The sequence below is a fragment of the Homo sapiens genome, chromosome 10 (genome assembly GCF_000001405.40).
Source record: "Homo sapiens chromosome 10, GRCh38.p14 Primary Assembly".
NCBI classification, from domain to species: Eukaryota; Metazoa; Chordata; class Mammalia; order Primates; family Hominidae; genus Homo; species Homo sapiens.
The window spans coordinates 93,477,213-93,493,076 of NC_000010.11; the positions used below are offsets into that span (position 1 = coordinate 93,477,213).

The 15,864-nt window shown below is 42.8% G+C and overlaps 1 protein-coding gene across 7 annotated transcripts in view; it reads right to left on the bottom strand.

Moving 5' to 3' along the window:
* MYOF (myoferlin) overlaps positions 1 to 5,122 on the bottom strand; it is a 175,906-nt gene extending 170,784 nt beyond the window's left edge. For 6 of the 7 annotated variants that reach the window (XM_047425049.1, NM_133337.3, XM_005269694.6 and 3 more), the window contains exon 1: positions 4,895 to 5,122. Coding sequence is in view for 6 of the 7 variants with exons in the window: in NM_133337.3 (NP_579899.1) it covers positions 4,895 to 4,982 (88 nt within the window). In the remaining variant the exon portion in view is untranslated. Of the gene's footprint in view, positions 1 to 967; positions 1,104 to 4,894 lie in introns of those variants that run through there. The other variant, XM_047425048.1, reaches the window with a different exon arrangement.
* Between the last annotated feature and the right edge of the window lie 10,742 nt (positions 5,123 to 15,864).

Consider the following 15,864-nt stretch of genomic DNA (forward strand, 5'->3'; position numbering starts at 1 on the left):
CAGATGCAGTGGCTCATGCCTGTAATCTCAGCACTTTGGGAGGCCGAGGCGGGTGGATCACCTGAGGTCAGGAGTTCAAGACCAGCCTGGCCAACATGGTGAAACCCCGTCTCTACTAAAAAACACAAAATTAGCCGGGTGTGGTGGCGCATGCCTGTAATCCCAGCTACTCGGGAGACTGAGGCAGGAGAATCACTTAAACCCGGGAGGTGGAAGTTGCAGTGAACCGAGATTATGCCACTGCACTCCAGCCTGGGCAACAAGAGCGAAACTCTGTGTAAAAAAAGAAAAAAGAAAAACACACACAAACACACACAAAGATAGAAGCTGTGCTTTTGAAATGTGCATATTCATGGCCGGGCGCAGTGGCTCACGCCTGTAATCCCAGCACTTTGGGAGGCCAAGGCAGGCGGATCATGAGGCCAGGAGTTCAAGACCAGCCTGACCAACATGGTGAAACCCTGTCTCTACTAAAAATACAAAAATTAGCCGGGCGTGATGGCGGGCGCCTGTAATCCCAGCTACTTAGGAGGCTGAGGCAGGAGAATCGCTTGAACCCAGGAGGTGGAGGTTGCAGTGAGCCGAGATCATACCATTGCACTCCAGCCTGGGTGACAGAGCGAGACTCCATCTAAAAAATAAATAAATAAATAAAAATGAAATATGCATATTCACAAAGACACGCACCACAGGGACACCCACTGCAGTACTGTTGCTAACAGGCAGTAGTTGGGACAACTTATATGTCTAGAGCAAAAGATCAAGAAGGATTCAAATCAAATTGTTCAGAGTGGTGACCCTGAAGGACTAACAGTGGGAGAGAGAAAGAATAGAAGAGGTGTGGGGAGAATTTTCACTTTTTAGTTGCATAATCCCTTCTGGGTTGTTTATCTTATGTCTACATGCATTTTTAATTTTAGAAATTAAAAATATTATATTATTTAAAATTAAAAAGTTTTTTAACAACCTGTTCTGTTTGGAGGACTGTTTGGAAGAATCATCAAGTCTCAGAGTTGAAATTGGTCTCAGAGGTCTGTGTAGTCTAATCTCAGCTAGATTCAGCTTCACAGCCTGGCTGTCCGCATGGAACTTAGGGCAGAATGGCCACCCCTGGCTCACAGGCACTCACTCCAGCCTCAATTCGGATCTGGCTCATGGAACCTGGTGTACCCGAAGGATATGAAAAATTACATAAGCGTTGTGGCTTTCATAATCTACACCTGCGCTGCTGAACATCACCAACAACCATGCACCAGGACTACAGCAACCCCCAGATCCTCCTAGTTCCTACCAGGCCCTGAGTAATTTGACAGCCTCAGAAGGGTCACTCACGGTTGAACACAACTGGGCGCTCATACCTGTAATCCCAATACTTTGGGAGGCCAAGCCAGGAGGATTGCTTGAGCCCAAGAGTTCAAGGCCAGCTTGAGAAACAGAGTGAGGCCCTGTCTCTACAAAAAAAATTAAAAATTAGCTGGGCATGGTGGTGTGTGCCTATAGTTCAGCTACTCAGGAGGCTGAGGTGGGAGGATCGCTTGAGCCCAGGAGTTCGAGACCATGATCACACCACTGACTGCACTCTTCCCTCCTGGATGGCAGGGTGAAACAGTCTCAAAAAAAAAAAAAAAAAAGAAAGAAAGAAAGAAAGGGTTTGAACACGAAAAACTGAGGTCAACTGTAAACCAGTTGGTTGTCAGTACAGCACAATCCCAAGTACAGTGTAGCTATAGCCTAATAGGGCCTCACAGTGTCTATGCGAGCTTCACCATTAACAATCACTTCCCCTGGCCATTCTTCACCGTCTTATAGTTTGAGAAGAGCTGCTTACTGCCCTGACTTTGTTTATTTACCCAAGAGGCAAAATGTTTACATATTTCTGTTAACACAGGGACTTTCTTTGATGCCGCCTTGATCTTCTGGTATGGCTTTTTCCTTTTTTTTTTTTTGAGATGGAGTCTCGTTCTATCTCCCAGGCTGGAGTGCAGTGGTGCGATCTCTGCTCACTGGAACCTCCGCCTCCCAGGCTCAAGTGATTCTCCTGCCTCAGCCTCCTGAGTAGCTGGGACTACAGGCATGGTAGGGCTTTTTCCAGTTTACCATACCCTGCCCCACTCCACACTATGAAGTGTGTCTGCCTTTGTTCCATGTTCCCTCTGATGGACAGTATTTTGCTATAAGTATCCTCAGTTCAGTCAGAACTTAATGTTACTTAATTTTACGCAGTGCTCAAAATTGGGAACACACCTGTAAAGGGTTTGCCATCACCAGGATTTTAAACCACCGACATAGACTGAAAGCAAGAAGAGTGCTGTGTTTGTTGCTATATCCCCTCCAGCACCTAAGGCAATGCATTTCACATCTTGCTGAGAGCAGCTAACTCAATACCTGGAACTAGAAAATTAGAATCTAAAAGACGGAAGGCATCTAAAGACCAGTTCCCATCATGCCACAGCTGAGAAATTGGAGACCCAGGTGGTTAAATCAGATATTGAGTTAATGTCAGCTGGAATGCAGATGTTCCTACTCTGAGTTGAGTGCCCTTTCCTCTGTCAGGTTGCTTGTTAGCTAAATGAATGAATGACTTTACCACTCGATTTGTATGAAAAAAGGAGGCCAGAAAAGAGACTAAAGTTAAATGTGTAATTGTTTGTATAGACTATATTTGCCAACTTAACTGAAGTTTTCCACTTTCAATTGATTGTTTGCATTCATTGACTTAGATATATTTTTCATCATTTAAAATGTTTCATCAATGCATACAAACTCCAGACAAATAACAAGTCAGATTTCAATATAGTATTAACTCCAATTCCTCTATAATCTATAATACTTAAATAATTACATGATCGGACTGATCCAAATATATTTTAATGTCTTTATATGTCAATGATGAAGGATGTAAAATCTTCATATTATGTCTCTATTATGTAACTGCTTCAAGAAAACAAAAAATTAATAAAACCTAACACATGTAAATAAACTCTGACATAACGTGAGTCCATGATATTCACTAGCCAGATTTTCAAACCTCATTGTCCTTTAAGAGCCCAATTTTAAGCTGGGCGTGGTAGTTTACGCCTGTAATCCCAACACTTTGGGAAGCTGAGATGGGAAGAAAGTTTGAGCAAGGGAATTATAACCAGCCTGGGCAACATAGCAAGACCCAGTCTTATTCAAAAAAATTTTTTTAAATTTTTTTTAAATCCAATTTTTGCCCTTTAGATTTTTTTTTTAACCAACCAACAATTTGCCAGCTTTTTTTTTTTTTTTTTTTTTTTTTTGAGACGGAGTCTCACTCTGTTGCCCAGGTTGGAGTGCAGTAGCATGATCTCGGCTCACTGCAACCTCCTCCTCCTGGGTTGAAGCAATCCTCCTGCCTCAGCCTCCCGAGTAGCTGGGATTATAGGCATGTGCCACCATGCCCGGCTAATTTTTGTATTTTTAGTAGAGATGGGGTTTTGCCATGTTGGCCTGGCTGGTCTCGAACTCCTGCCCTCATGTGATCCACCCACCTCAGCCTCCCAAAGTTCTGGGATTACAGGCAGAAGTCACCACACCCAGCCAGCCAGCTTTGAGTTTCATTTCTTTCATTTTCTTGCTCATCCTCAGAGAGAGAGGTTTAAGAAGAGAAATAAAGGGGAAAAACGGGAAACAGAAAGGCGAAAGGTATAGATGCCTCAGGAACTGACAGGGAGTAGCAGTCAGGCTCCTGGAAGAAACGAGAAATGTAGCAAGGCATGGTCAGGAAACACATGTCTATCCATGCTCCCACTCTCTCTGCCTTTCCCTCTCTTTCCCATCCCTCTTGCCAAGAAGTGAGTTGGCAGTCTTACCAATGACAAACAAAATAGATAAAGCCTCCACACTGAGATTTAGAAACCCCACTTTAGCCAAAACTAAGTCACTTACATCAAATTGTACCATGACACCAAGCATTCCTGTCCCCTCCCCTGCAATGGCAATCAAGTGTCATAGAAAAATAGCCTTTTAAAATTACCATGAGCCTTTTATTTTTATTTATTTTTACACCCAGGCTGGAGTGCAGTGGCGTGATCACGGCTCACTGTAGCCTCAAACTCCTGGGCTCAAGCAATCCTCCTGCCTTGGCCTCCCAAAGTTGGCTCAGGGTTGAGGAGCCACTGTGCTCAGCCAACCATGAGGTTTTTAGAGATGATCTTGTCTAAACCCTTCTCGCCTGTTTTGCAGAAAAGAAAATTGAGATCCCAGAGAAATGAAGTAACTTGCCCAAGGTCATTCAGCAGGCAAGATAGAACTAGATCCCCAAATTGCAAACTAGCTGTCCAGAGTTCTTTCCTCAATGAGCAATTTAAAAGCTACAGAATGTACAAAAAAAGCTCCCCAACAGTTTAGATATAAAAACAATTACAAAGGCACAAAAGGGCAGGAAAACTCAATAAAACTATGAACTTCACCCATCCCACCTCCCAGAAACCCAGTGACAATCAAAGCAGCGTCAGGCTGGTTCAAGGAGTAATGGTGTCTCCAACAATTTAATTGCTCTTCTTCCTCCTTTACCCATTTCTCACAGGCAGAGAAAAAATGCATCTAAGACTACTGAAACTTACTTTGAACCAATACAGATGTTTGTTGATACCTGAAATTTAGTGATTCGCAAATACGTTTTCTGCCAAGAGCTTACAGAAATCACACTCTTAGAGCTAAAACATCAGGTCATTCCATGAGTCTCAAGCCCTGGAGAAAATTAAATGCCTTCCCCAGAAACGGGTCCTCTCCCCTGTCCTGCGCAGGTAACAAACGCTGCTGGAGAGACTTGGCTTCATCAGCTGTCTAAATGCAGACTTTTCAAGAAGGTGACTCAAGAAACTAACATTCCAAAACAGGACTTCAGAAAAAGAAGAAAACTTTTTCTTACCCTTAAAAATGACAGAAACAATAGGATCCGGCTTGCCAAATTTCGTTTTAGGGATATTGCTGGCAGATTCCACAATCACTCGCAGCATGGTTCTTAGCTGGTAGAAAGCAAGTTTCAGCAAACGAAGTGGAGACTAGGGCGCTGGAGCTCCGGGTCGCACCGCCCTGGGAGAGAAGTTCTCTCCCAGTGAAGGGAGGATTTCTCCCAGGGCAAGGAAGGGGAAAAGGCAAAATGGGTGGACCTCTGGCGGATTTTACTGAAGGCAACGTGTAAACTGATACCGAACTCCCCGCGTCTACGCAGTGCCGCAGGCACAGACTTATGAATTCGGGAAATGTGGAAGTGAAAAGGACAAACCCTAAACTAAAAATAATTCCGTGCGACAAATGAAACCAACATGAATTTGGAGCTAAGAAATACGGGTAGGTCAGGAAACCACTAAAATGTTGCTGCCTTTTAGCAATGGTTCGTGAAACTGAATTAATTGATTTTTCCGTCACTGCTTTCATTCTTTTCTGAGTTTCAAGGAGTTTTAAAACTTTAGTCATTATTTGCTTTTGACTTTTCGCTGTTACTTCTCACGCCATTGAACACACCCACTCAGTAACCCTATGTTCAGCTTTTTTAAAGCAGCTAAAGGGTGCCTCTTACTGGACGGCAAACGAATGACAGCGTTTATTTCAAGTAAACGCGATCCAGGCATGGGATATATAAATAATTACATATATGTATAAATAATTATATATATATATATATATATATATATATATATATATATATATATATATATATATATATAAAGGACTGAACATAGAATTTCTTCAAAACCCCTTCAGAGGTGAGAGCTGGGCGCCTAAGTTTTCCCGGCTCTTCAAATGCTGCCAATTGCCTTCAGTGAAAATGGAGAAGTGACTCCCCACTGTTTCTGGACCTACAGCTGCCCATGGTGTCTTTCTGTCCCAGAGGGTGCATGAAGACAGTGCAGCTTGGCTGAGATCACAAGAGGCGGCCTGGGGTTAGTCAGCCAGATCTGAGTGTGAGACTCTGCCTCACCACCCTGAGCTACGTCATCTTAGCAAGTTTCTTTTCTTTTCTTTTCTTTTCTTTTTTTTTTTTGACGGAGTCTCGCTCTGTCACCAGGCTGGAGTGCAGTGTAGCGATCTTGGCTCACTGCAACCTCTGCCTCCCGGGTTCAAGCGATTCTCCTGCCTCAGTCTCCCGAGTAGCTGGGACTACAGGCGTGCGCCACCACACGCAGCTAATTTTTTTTTTTTTTGTATTTTTAGTAGAGACGGGGTTTCACCATGCTGGCAAGGATGGTCTCGATCTCTTGACCTTGTGATCCGCCCGCCTCGGCCTCCGTGGCTTGAGCTTTACTGGCTTGAGCTTTACTGGCTTGAGCCACCGTGCTGGCGAGCAAGTTTCTTAACCCCTCTCTTCCTCAGTTTCCTCATCTATGAACTGGGGATAAAGGCTGTTATAAGATAAAGGTCATAGCATAGGAGCTGGCACAAAGCACACAGTAATTTGCACATGTAAGAAGTTCATGCTTATTTGTGGTCTCACAGCGTTTCTGTTAGTGCAGGCTGACTTTAAATCAGGATCTCGTTATATTTCAGAAGAAAAGGCTAAAACTTGGGATGAAGAAACATTGGGCTTCTTTTTGCTTTAGAACACACATCAAGCAGACCCACCTGTAAATAAACATTTCAAGTACATTGAATAAGCATGACTTAACCTACAAGAATTCTTCTGTCTCCACGAGTTTCTCCAAGGCTTAAAGCAAAGAACCAATTACCCAGTGCTGTGTTCATTATTGTATTTAGTGGACATGTTGGCAGTTTTAGTGGAATATAGAGATTATTACTTTTATTTTATCTGGCTGCTTTCTATTTGCCATTTTTACTGTGAAATATATTTACAGAAAAATGCATACTACATAAACGTGACAGTTTAACAAGCATCCAGGTCAAGACAGAACATTGCCAGTCCTCCAGAAGCCCCTGGAATACCCCATATATCATATCCACCTCCTTCTCCCAGAGGTAACCACTCTCCTGATTTTTTTTTCTTTTTTTAGATGGAGTTTCACTCTTGTTGCCCAGGCTGGATTGAAGTGGGGTGATCGGCTCACTGCCACCTCCACCTCCCGGGTTCAAGCAATTCTCCTGCCTCAGCCTCCCAGGTAGCTGGGATTACAGGCGTGCACTACCACACCCGGCTAATTTTGTATTTTTAGTAGAGACAGGGTTTCACCGTGTTGGCCAGGCTGGTCTCAAACTCCTGACCTCAGGTGATCCATCCACCTCGGCCTCCCAAAGTGCTGGGATTACAGGCATGAGCCACCATGCCTGGCCCACTCTCCTGATTTTTATGGTAATGATTTCCTTGCTTTTCTTTGTAGTTTTTACCGAAAACAACAACAACAAAACAGTTTAGGTTTGCTTGCTCATGACCTTTGTTTGGTGATATAAATTCTTTTGTATGTTATGAACTTTACATACAACACATATATTCATATATATAGGTACACACATACATGTGTTCATACTTTGTGAATTCTTTGCTGTATTATGACTTTATAGAAATGGACTCATACAGAATGGATTCTTTCGTGTTTGACTTCTTTTTTCTCAGTATTATATTGTGAAATTCATTCATGTAGCTCTACTTCCTTCACTCTTGTTGCTATATGGCATTTCATTGTATGAGTTTCTGACATTTTATTTATTTATTTATTTTGAGACAGAGTCTTGCTCTGTAGCCCAGGCTGGAGTGCAGTGGTGCGATCTCGTTTCACTGCAACCTCTGCCTCCCGGGTTCAAGCAATTCTCCTGCCTCAGCCTCCTGAGTAGCTGGGATTACAGGTGCACACCACCACGCCCGGCTAATTTTTGTATCTTTAGTAGAGATGGGGTGTCACCATGTTGGCCAGGATGTTCTCGAACTCTTTACCTCGTGATCCGCCTGCCTCAGCCTCCCAAAGTGCTGGGATTACAGGCATGAGCCACTGCGCCTGGCCTCCAGATTTGATTAATTCATTCTACTACTGCCAGACATTTGGACAGTTCAGGGAATGGGGCTATTACAAACAGTGCTGTTCTGAACAGTCCAAGACTGTTCTGGCACAAATGTGCATGAGTCTATTTAGAGTCTAATCTATGGGTGGAATTGCTTGCTGGGCCAGAGAATGTATGCATTTCTTCACCTTTACAAGGTAATTCCAAATTATATTCCACAATGGTACTCTTGCCAGCAGTGTATGAGACTTCCTGTTGTTCTAAATTTTTGTCATACTTAACCAATGTTAGATTTTTTACATTTGCCCTTCTGGTGAGCATATAATAGCATCTCACTGGAGTTTTAATTTGCCTTTTACCTATTCATGTGGGAGAAAAAGACAAATGACTTCCAACCTTACATAATACATAATCAATTACAGGTGGAGTATAAATCTAAATAAGCAAGATAAAACATGTTTCAGCCCAGACACAGTGGTTCATACCTGTAATCTCAACACTTTGGGGAGGCTGAGGTGAGTCTGAGACCAGCCTGGGCAACATAGTGAGACCCTGCCTCTAAAAAAAATTTTTTAAATTAATCGAGTGTGGTGGCATGCACCTGTGGTCCCAGCTACTTGAAAGGCTGAGGTGGGACAACCACTTGAGCCTGGGAAGTCCTGGTGGCAGTGAGCCATGATTGTGCCACTATACTCCAACCTGGGTAACAGAGTGAGACCCTGTCTCTAAAAAAAAAAAAAAAAAAATCTAACCAGGTGGTGGCAGCAGCTCACACCTGTAGTCCCAGCTACTTGGGAAGCTGAGGCAAGAGGATCACTTGAGGCCAGAAATAGAAATCCAGCCTAGACAACATGGCAAGACCTCCTCTCTAAAACAAATAAGTAAAGAAAAAAATCAAACAACAAAAAAAGCCATAGAAGAATATCTATATGACCCCAGGATAGGAAAGGATTTCTTAATATGAAAAAATGTACAAATCATAAAGGAAATATTGATAAATTCAATTATATTAAAATCACAACCTACAAAGGACTAGTATTCAGAGTACATAAACAGCTCCAGCAAATTAGTAAGACAAACACATAGAACTCAATGGAAAAATAGGTAAAAGATTTGAATAGGCACTTCATAAATTAGGAAATGTAAATATGAAAAGGTACTCAACCTCATTGGTAATTAGAAAAGTGCAAATTAAAACTCCAATGAGTTATTATTATATACTCACCAGATGGGAAAATATGTAAAAATCTAACATTGCCAAGCTTGACAAGAATGTGGAACAACGGGAAGTCTCATACACCGCTGGTGAGAGTGTAATCAGCAGTAAATTCTCATGGATTTTCTACCATTACAATTATAGAATCTGCAAATAACGCCTGGGGTGTTTCTTCCTTTTCAATCTTTGTGCTTACTTTATTTTCCCATTTATTTCTATGTTGATTAGACCTTTCATTATAATATTGACTAGGGGTGGTAATAACAGACATCCTTATCTTTTTCTGTATTTCAAAGGGAAAGATTTCCATACTTCACCATAAAGTATGATGTTTGCTGTAGGTTTCTCATAATTAGCCCTTTTAAGATTAAAGGAGTTCTCTTTATTCCTAGGTTGCTAAAACTTTGAGGTTTTTTTTTTTGGTTTTTTTTTTTTTTTTTTTGAGATGGAGTCTTGTTATGTCCTTCTGGCTGGAATGCAGTGATTATTCACAGGCACAATCATAGTGCACTACAGCCTTGAACCCCTGGCCTCAAGCAATCCTCTCGCCTCCACCTCCTAAGTAGCTGAGACTACAGGCAAGTGCTTAGCTACTTTTAAATGCCCAGTTTTAAGGCTTTTTATAAGACATAAAGTCGGATTTTATCAGATGGTTTCACTTTATTGAAATGATCATATGAATTTTATGTTTAATGTGGTGAATTACATTTATTTTATTTTATTTTGAGACAGAATCTCGCTCTATTGCCCAGGTTGGAGTGCAGTGGCATGATCTCAGCTCACTGCAACCTCCCCTTCCTGGGTTCAAGCAATTATCCTGCCTCAGCCTCCCAAGTACCTGGGATTACAGGTGCACACCAACACCCAGTTAATTTTGTATTTTTAGTAGAGACAGGGTTTCACTATGTTGGCCAGGCTGGTCTCAAACTCCTGACCTCAAGTGATCCACCCATCTCGGCCTCCCAAAGTGCTGGGATTACAGGTGTGAACCACCACGCCCTGCCAATTACATTTATTTTCTAATATTAAACTAACTTTGCATTCCTGAGATAAACTCAACTTGGTTGTCATATCTTATACTTTCCTATTGCTAAATTTAGATTGCAAATATGTTTATATACTATTTATGACTTTTGCATGTATATTTATGAATAAGACTGACTTGCAATTGCCCGTCCTCATTTTGTCCTGGTCAGCTTTGGTGTGGAGGTCATGCTAGCATCATAAAATGGGGTGGGGTGTGCTGTTGCCTCTTTTTTAATTCTTTGGAAAAGCTTGTGAACTTGGAATTATTTCTTCTGATATGTTTGTTGTTCTTTCACAAAATTCATACCTGTATTTATTTTAAAGATTCAAGAAATCCTATCAGAGGCTGGTGCAGTGGCTCGCGACTGTAATCCCAGAATTTTGGGAGGCTGGGGTGGGAGGGTTGCTTGAGCCCAGGAGTTTGAAACCAGCCTGGGCAACATGGCAAGACCCCATCTCTACTAAAAATCAAAAATTAGCTGGGCGTGGTGGCGTGTGCCTGTAGTCCCAGCTACTTGGGAGGCTGCAGTGGGAGGATCACCTAGGCCTGGGAGCAGTGAGCTATAATTTTGCCACTGCACTCCAGTCTGGGAGACAGTGGGACCCTGTCTCAAAATAAATAAGTAAACTCTACCAGGCTTATTATAAAATTAGAAGTTCACCTCTCCTTACCTCTAGCATTTCCTGACAGCATTTCCATTTCCAGAGGCCCTAACTTTCAGCTCTTTCATCTGATTATTTTGGTGTTTATATCCATATCTCCAAGTAACATGCTTTCTTCTATTTTTCACTTTCCAGCATCAGGCATCATCTGTTTCCTAACAAGGAAAATGAGGACTTAGCTGTCTTTTGCCCCTCCTCAAATCCAAACACATATGTGTACACTTTCTGTATCCCATCACCCCCAGGATAGCTGTACCATAAATTTGCATAGATACATTATTGTGATTGTATAAACACTGTTCACAAGCCATGAAGTATACTGCAATGTGCTTCATACATTTTGATCTTGTTTCAACTTGTTCTTTTCTTTCTTTTGGAGTTAATACCTTGTTGGTGGTGGTTTTTAGTGTTTGTTTGTTTGTTTGTTTGTTTGTTTGTTTGTTTTCTGAGACAGGGTCTCTGTCACCCAGGCTGGTGTGTAGTGGTGCGATCTCAGCTCACTGCAGCCTCAACCTCCCCTGGCTCAGGTGATCTTCCCATTTCAGCCTCCCAAATAGCTGGGACTACAGGCACACACCACCACACCTGTCTACATTTTGTATTTTTTGTAGAGTTGGGGTTTTGCCATGTTGCCCAGGCTGGTCTCAAACTCCTGGGCTCAAGCAATCTGCACACCTCAGCCTCCCAAAGTTCTGGGATTACAGGCGTATACCACTGCCCCTAGCCCCTTGTTGTTTTTTTGTACTTTAAACTCTTCCCAAATTGTGTAAATTTCCAACATGTTCAAACATATTGGAATTGTATCAATTTCATCTTGAACCCTCGCTTGGGGTCTTCCAAATGGCTCTGATCTGGAGGGTTTTGCTCGGGAGCTAAGCATAGCTGCTATCCCTGAGCTGCCTTTCTCCACCTCTCTTTGCATCTCTCTTATTTTGGATTCCGTGTCTTCCTCTTTCTTGGTTTACTTTCTTGTATTGCTGAAGCATAGACCTTCCCTGTTTGAACAGCTTTATTCTACTCTCCTATTTCATTGGCAGTATGGCTGGCACAGGATTCCAAGTTCAAAAGCATTTCCTCCCAATATTTGAAAGCATTGTTCCATTGTCTTCTGGTTTCCCACATAGCTTGCTCCCGCCATCTCTAGGAGAGTATCACATACCTGCACCTGTGCTGTGTGACTTGCAGTGCTTTTCTATGCAAAGCATGTTGTCCTCTACCCCATTTGTGGCAGACATGGCCATGGGACTGGCTTTAATGGAATGTGGGAATGTGGCTGTTGCTACAATACACCACCCAGATTTCCCTCCAGGAATGAAGGATAAAATACCCCCAGCTGCTGGGAGAGCTGCCAGAAAACCTCCCTCAGCTGTTAGCCCTCTTCAGGGATTGCCTGCGCTGAAGAAAATTGCCCTACCCAAGATCATGTTTCCTTCCAGAAGCAGCCTACCTCCCAATGACTGATCAGCGCAGGGATATGAAGGCCTGGTCCCCTTGCCCCAAGTGGTGACAATCTACAGGGCCATTCCAGCGTCTGGGTTCCCCATGGAGTCAGCAGGATCCAGTGATGGACCCAGCTTCCTTCTCCCTGCATCTGTGGTGTTGATCTCATGAATACTTCTTAAGAAATACCTGTATACTGATATCATTTCAGAAATTTTCCCTGGGGAATGCAACCTGTCAGAGTTGGGTGCCAGGAGTGGTTCAAGAAAGCAGATCCTAAGATGGGATTTTGAGCTTGATCTTCCACCACCCAGATGGGAATGAAGACCCCTGATAATCTCATCAATGATTATCCCTGGCACAGTACAATAGTAAAATGTGTCACCAATGGAAGGGAACGCATTAGCTGCGTGAAATGTCAAGCAGTTGAAATATGCAGGGAAAACAGTAACTAAGGATTTGGATTTAGGGAGCCATTGCCAAACTCAGTTGACACTCTGGAAAAGTAACAAAAGGTTGAGAGTGATTAATCAGCAATAAATAGCTATGAATGAAAGCCAGGTGGCCTCTCCTGCAGCAGGAGAACTGGGAAAGCTCAGGCCCAGCACCAGAACTTAGTCACAAAAGACGACAAGCTCCAAGGAAGATTGAACCCCCAACCGAGACAAGTTGACTCTGATAAGATCAAGGCTCTGCTTGGGGAAGGACTGGGACCCTGATACATAGGATGGGGATATCTGGTTGATGTCCTTGAGAATCTTAAATCCCCAAATTTCTCTGAGCCCTCTGAGCCTGGGGGAGCTCAGATTAAAGACAAGCACCACTCCACCTTGCTTGGAGATGATGTGAAGGCCTCCCCCCTGCAAGACACCTTGTTCTTTTCTCAGGATCTGCGAAGGCCTCCCACCCCGGCCGTTACCAATATCTACGGTTAAGTCCTAACAACATATTGCTGCCTGGGATGTGCTAGGCCTGCCTGCTGAAGACAGAAAGGGGACACCCCTTGAACAAACTGCAGGACACAACCAATTGGACTGGCAGAAGCTGGAAGAGTTCACATGGGGCTGGATTCTAAGTGTGCTGTGTCGAAGGGCAGTGCAGAACACAAATTTGGATAAAAGAGAGTTGACCAGTATGGGTGCGCTCCCCCAAGATGCTGATTTCATATGCCGCAAGGCCCCCAGAGATGGTGCAAACGCACTACTAAGGTGGCTCCTAGGAACATGAGAAAAGCAATGGCCCATCTTAAGTTAAGAAGAAATACCTGTACTGCCCTAACAAAATGGAGGCACAGAAGTGACAAAAAACTTGAGCCAGGATTCAAACCTAGTGTCTTCCGAGTCAAACTCCCTTCCCAGCTTCACCTCAGCTGAGATCTCATATTTCTGTTTCATTGTTTCTTACCTGTCTCAAGTAAACTCAAGCATTAATCTAGGTGAGTGGCCTTACACTTGCCCTGGAACAGTGAGACAAAAGAGATGGAGAAAGAGGAATGTGAGAGGAAGAGAAGGGAGACTCAGCAAAAAATCTAGATGTGAAGAGCAAAGTGCTGGGGTAGCAAAGAGGATTTAGTGGAAGAGAAATGAAGATAGATTCGTAACATCTTATTCCAATTCCAGTTTTACAGAATCTTAGGTATTACCTAACAGCATTTTTCAAATTGGCATGCACAGAAGGGTCCATTGTTTCAGTTGATAACCAAAGTGCTTTTTAGAGCTAAAATACTATTTTTGGTGGCTTAATTACAGGGCTTCTCACAGTGGAAGACACTATCTTTAAATAACTTAATATATAGTATATTTGAATTTCATTCCTTTAAGAAAGTGCTTGGCAGCAACTGAGTCCACGTAGAGGGCAGGAGGAGATAAATTATTTTATAACATTTGGCACCATCATATTGTCATCATTCAAGGCAACTGGGGGAGCTAAATATAAGATAGGAATTAATCTGACTTCTCTAAGAAGATATTAATATATTTTCTAAAATCAACCTAGAAAAAATAGAACAGGCAAAAGTGGAATAATTTTAAGCCTTGTGCTCACCTTTACAGAAACAATAATTCTTCATCAAAATGTCTGATAGACAAATGGCTCCCAGCTGTTCTTCTGGAAGAGCCCTCATTCATTCACGCACATATGCACCTTATTCAGCTAATACTTATTAAACGCTACTTGGTGCCAGGCACAATGCTAACTACAAAAATGAATAGGACACATTTCTGCTCTGCAAGAAGCTCACAGATAATTGTAGCATCATGTGGTGAGGGCAATGATAGAAAGAGATAAACTGAAGAGATAGGTATCTGTAGGGCAGGGGAGGGCAAGCATGGTAGGCTCCCTGGAGGAGGTGACAGCTGAAAACTGGACTGAATCTTAATGGTTGGATTGATATGTGTGTATGTGTGTGTGCCTGACTGTATGATCTGAAATAGAGTTAAATACATATGGTGAACATTTGGAACCCCAAGACATTCCACACTGGTGGAACATCATGTATGACATAAAACAGTCAAGCACTGAGCCTAGGCAGGCAGGCAGTTACCAGCTCAGAGAGCCTTATTTGCTCAGTAACATCTACTGAGTACTCACTACGTGCCAAACACTATCCTAAGCATTTTTTCTCATTGAAACCTTCCACCACCCTACCCTGTGAAGTCCCTGCTATGGTAGGATCCCCATTCTACAGACGAAAAAGCTGAGGCCTGGTTTGGCTAAGCACCTTGCCTAGGTTCTCACGGTAAGTAAAGCCAGGATCTGAATGCAGGCAGTCTTTTTCCAGAGTCCGTGCTCTTCATTCTTACACATACCTCATGGTGACAGGGACCTATTGGAGATGTATTTTTCAGCAGGGAAGTGGAGCGATTGGATTGCCTATTAATACCCTGGTTACAAATGAAATGTTTTAGTTACCATGCAGACTTAAATTTTAATAGGAGCTAAAATAGGCCAGGCTCAGTGGATCATGCCTATAATCCCAGCACTTTGGGAGGCCAAGGTGGAAAGATTGCTTGAGGCCAGGCCAGGAGGATTGCTTGAAGAAGTTTGAGACCAGCCTGGGCAATATAGTGAGACCTCATCTCTTAAAAAAAAAAAAAAAAAAAAAAAGGACCTAAAGCGGGCAGAGCAGTCAGGGCCTGCCCTCTCAAAATAGGATGCACCCCAAATCAAGAACCAAGTCAGGAAGTATCACTGACTGCCTAAGAAGAATTCTCTCATATGAGATTAGCCGCCTGCCCCTGAAATGATTTTCAGATATGTTGCTTGCTGATAGAGCTGCAGTGATCACAGCTAAGTGCTGAGGGGATCTCCCTATTTGCCGATTTAAAATGCAGCCCTTCCTGGCTGAAGATAAACTTTAGGAAAGAGCAGGGGGTCTACCCTGAAAAGGTGCTGAGCTCTAAAAGCATGCTTCTGGTGCATTATTTTAAGTAAGGTGCATCCTTTTAGGTAATTAAGGAATATCGATAACAGAAAGGAAAGAGAGTAAAGCATTTGTCTGTTTCTCCGTAATAGTTTAGATCAGACGAGACTCTGATCAATTCATCCTTGATCTAATTCGCTCAATCACTGTGGTTCTTCTAGGTGCTCAGGATATGGTGGCTGGC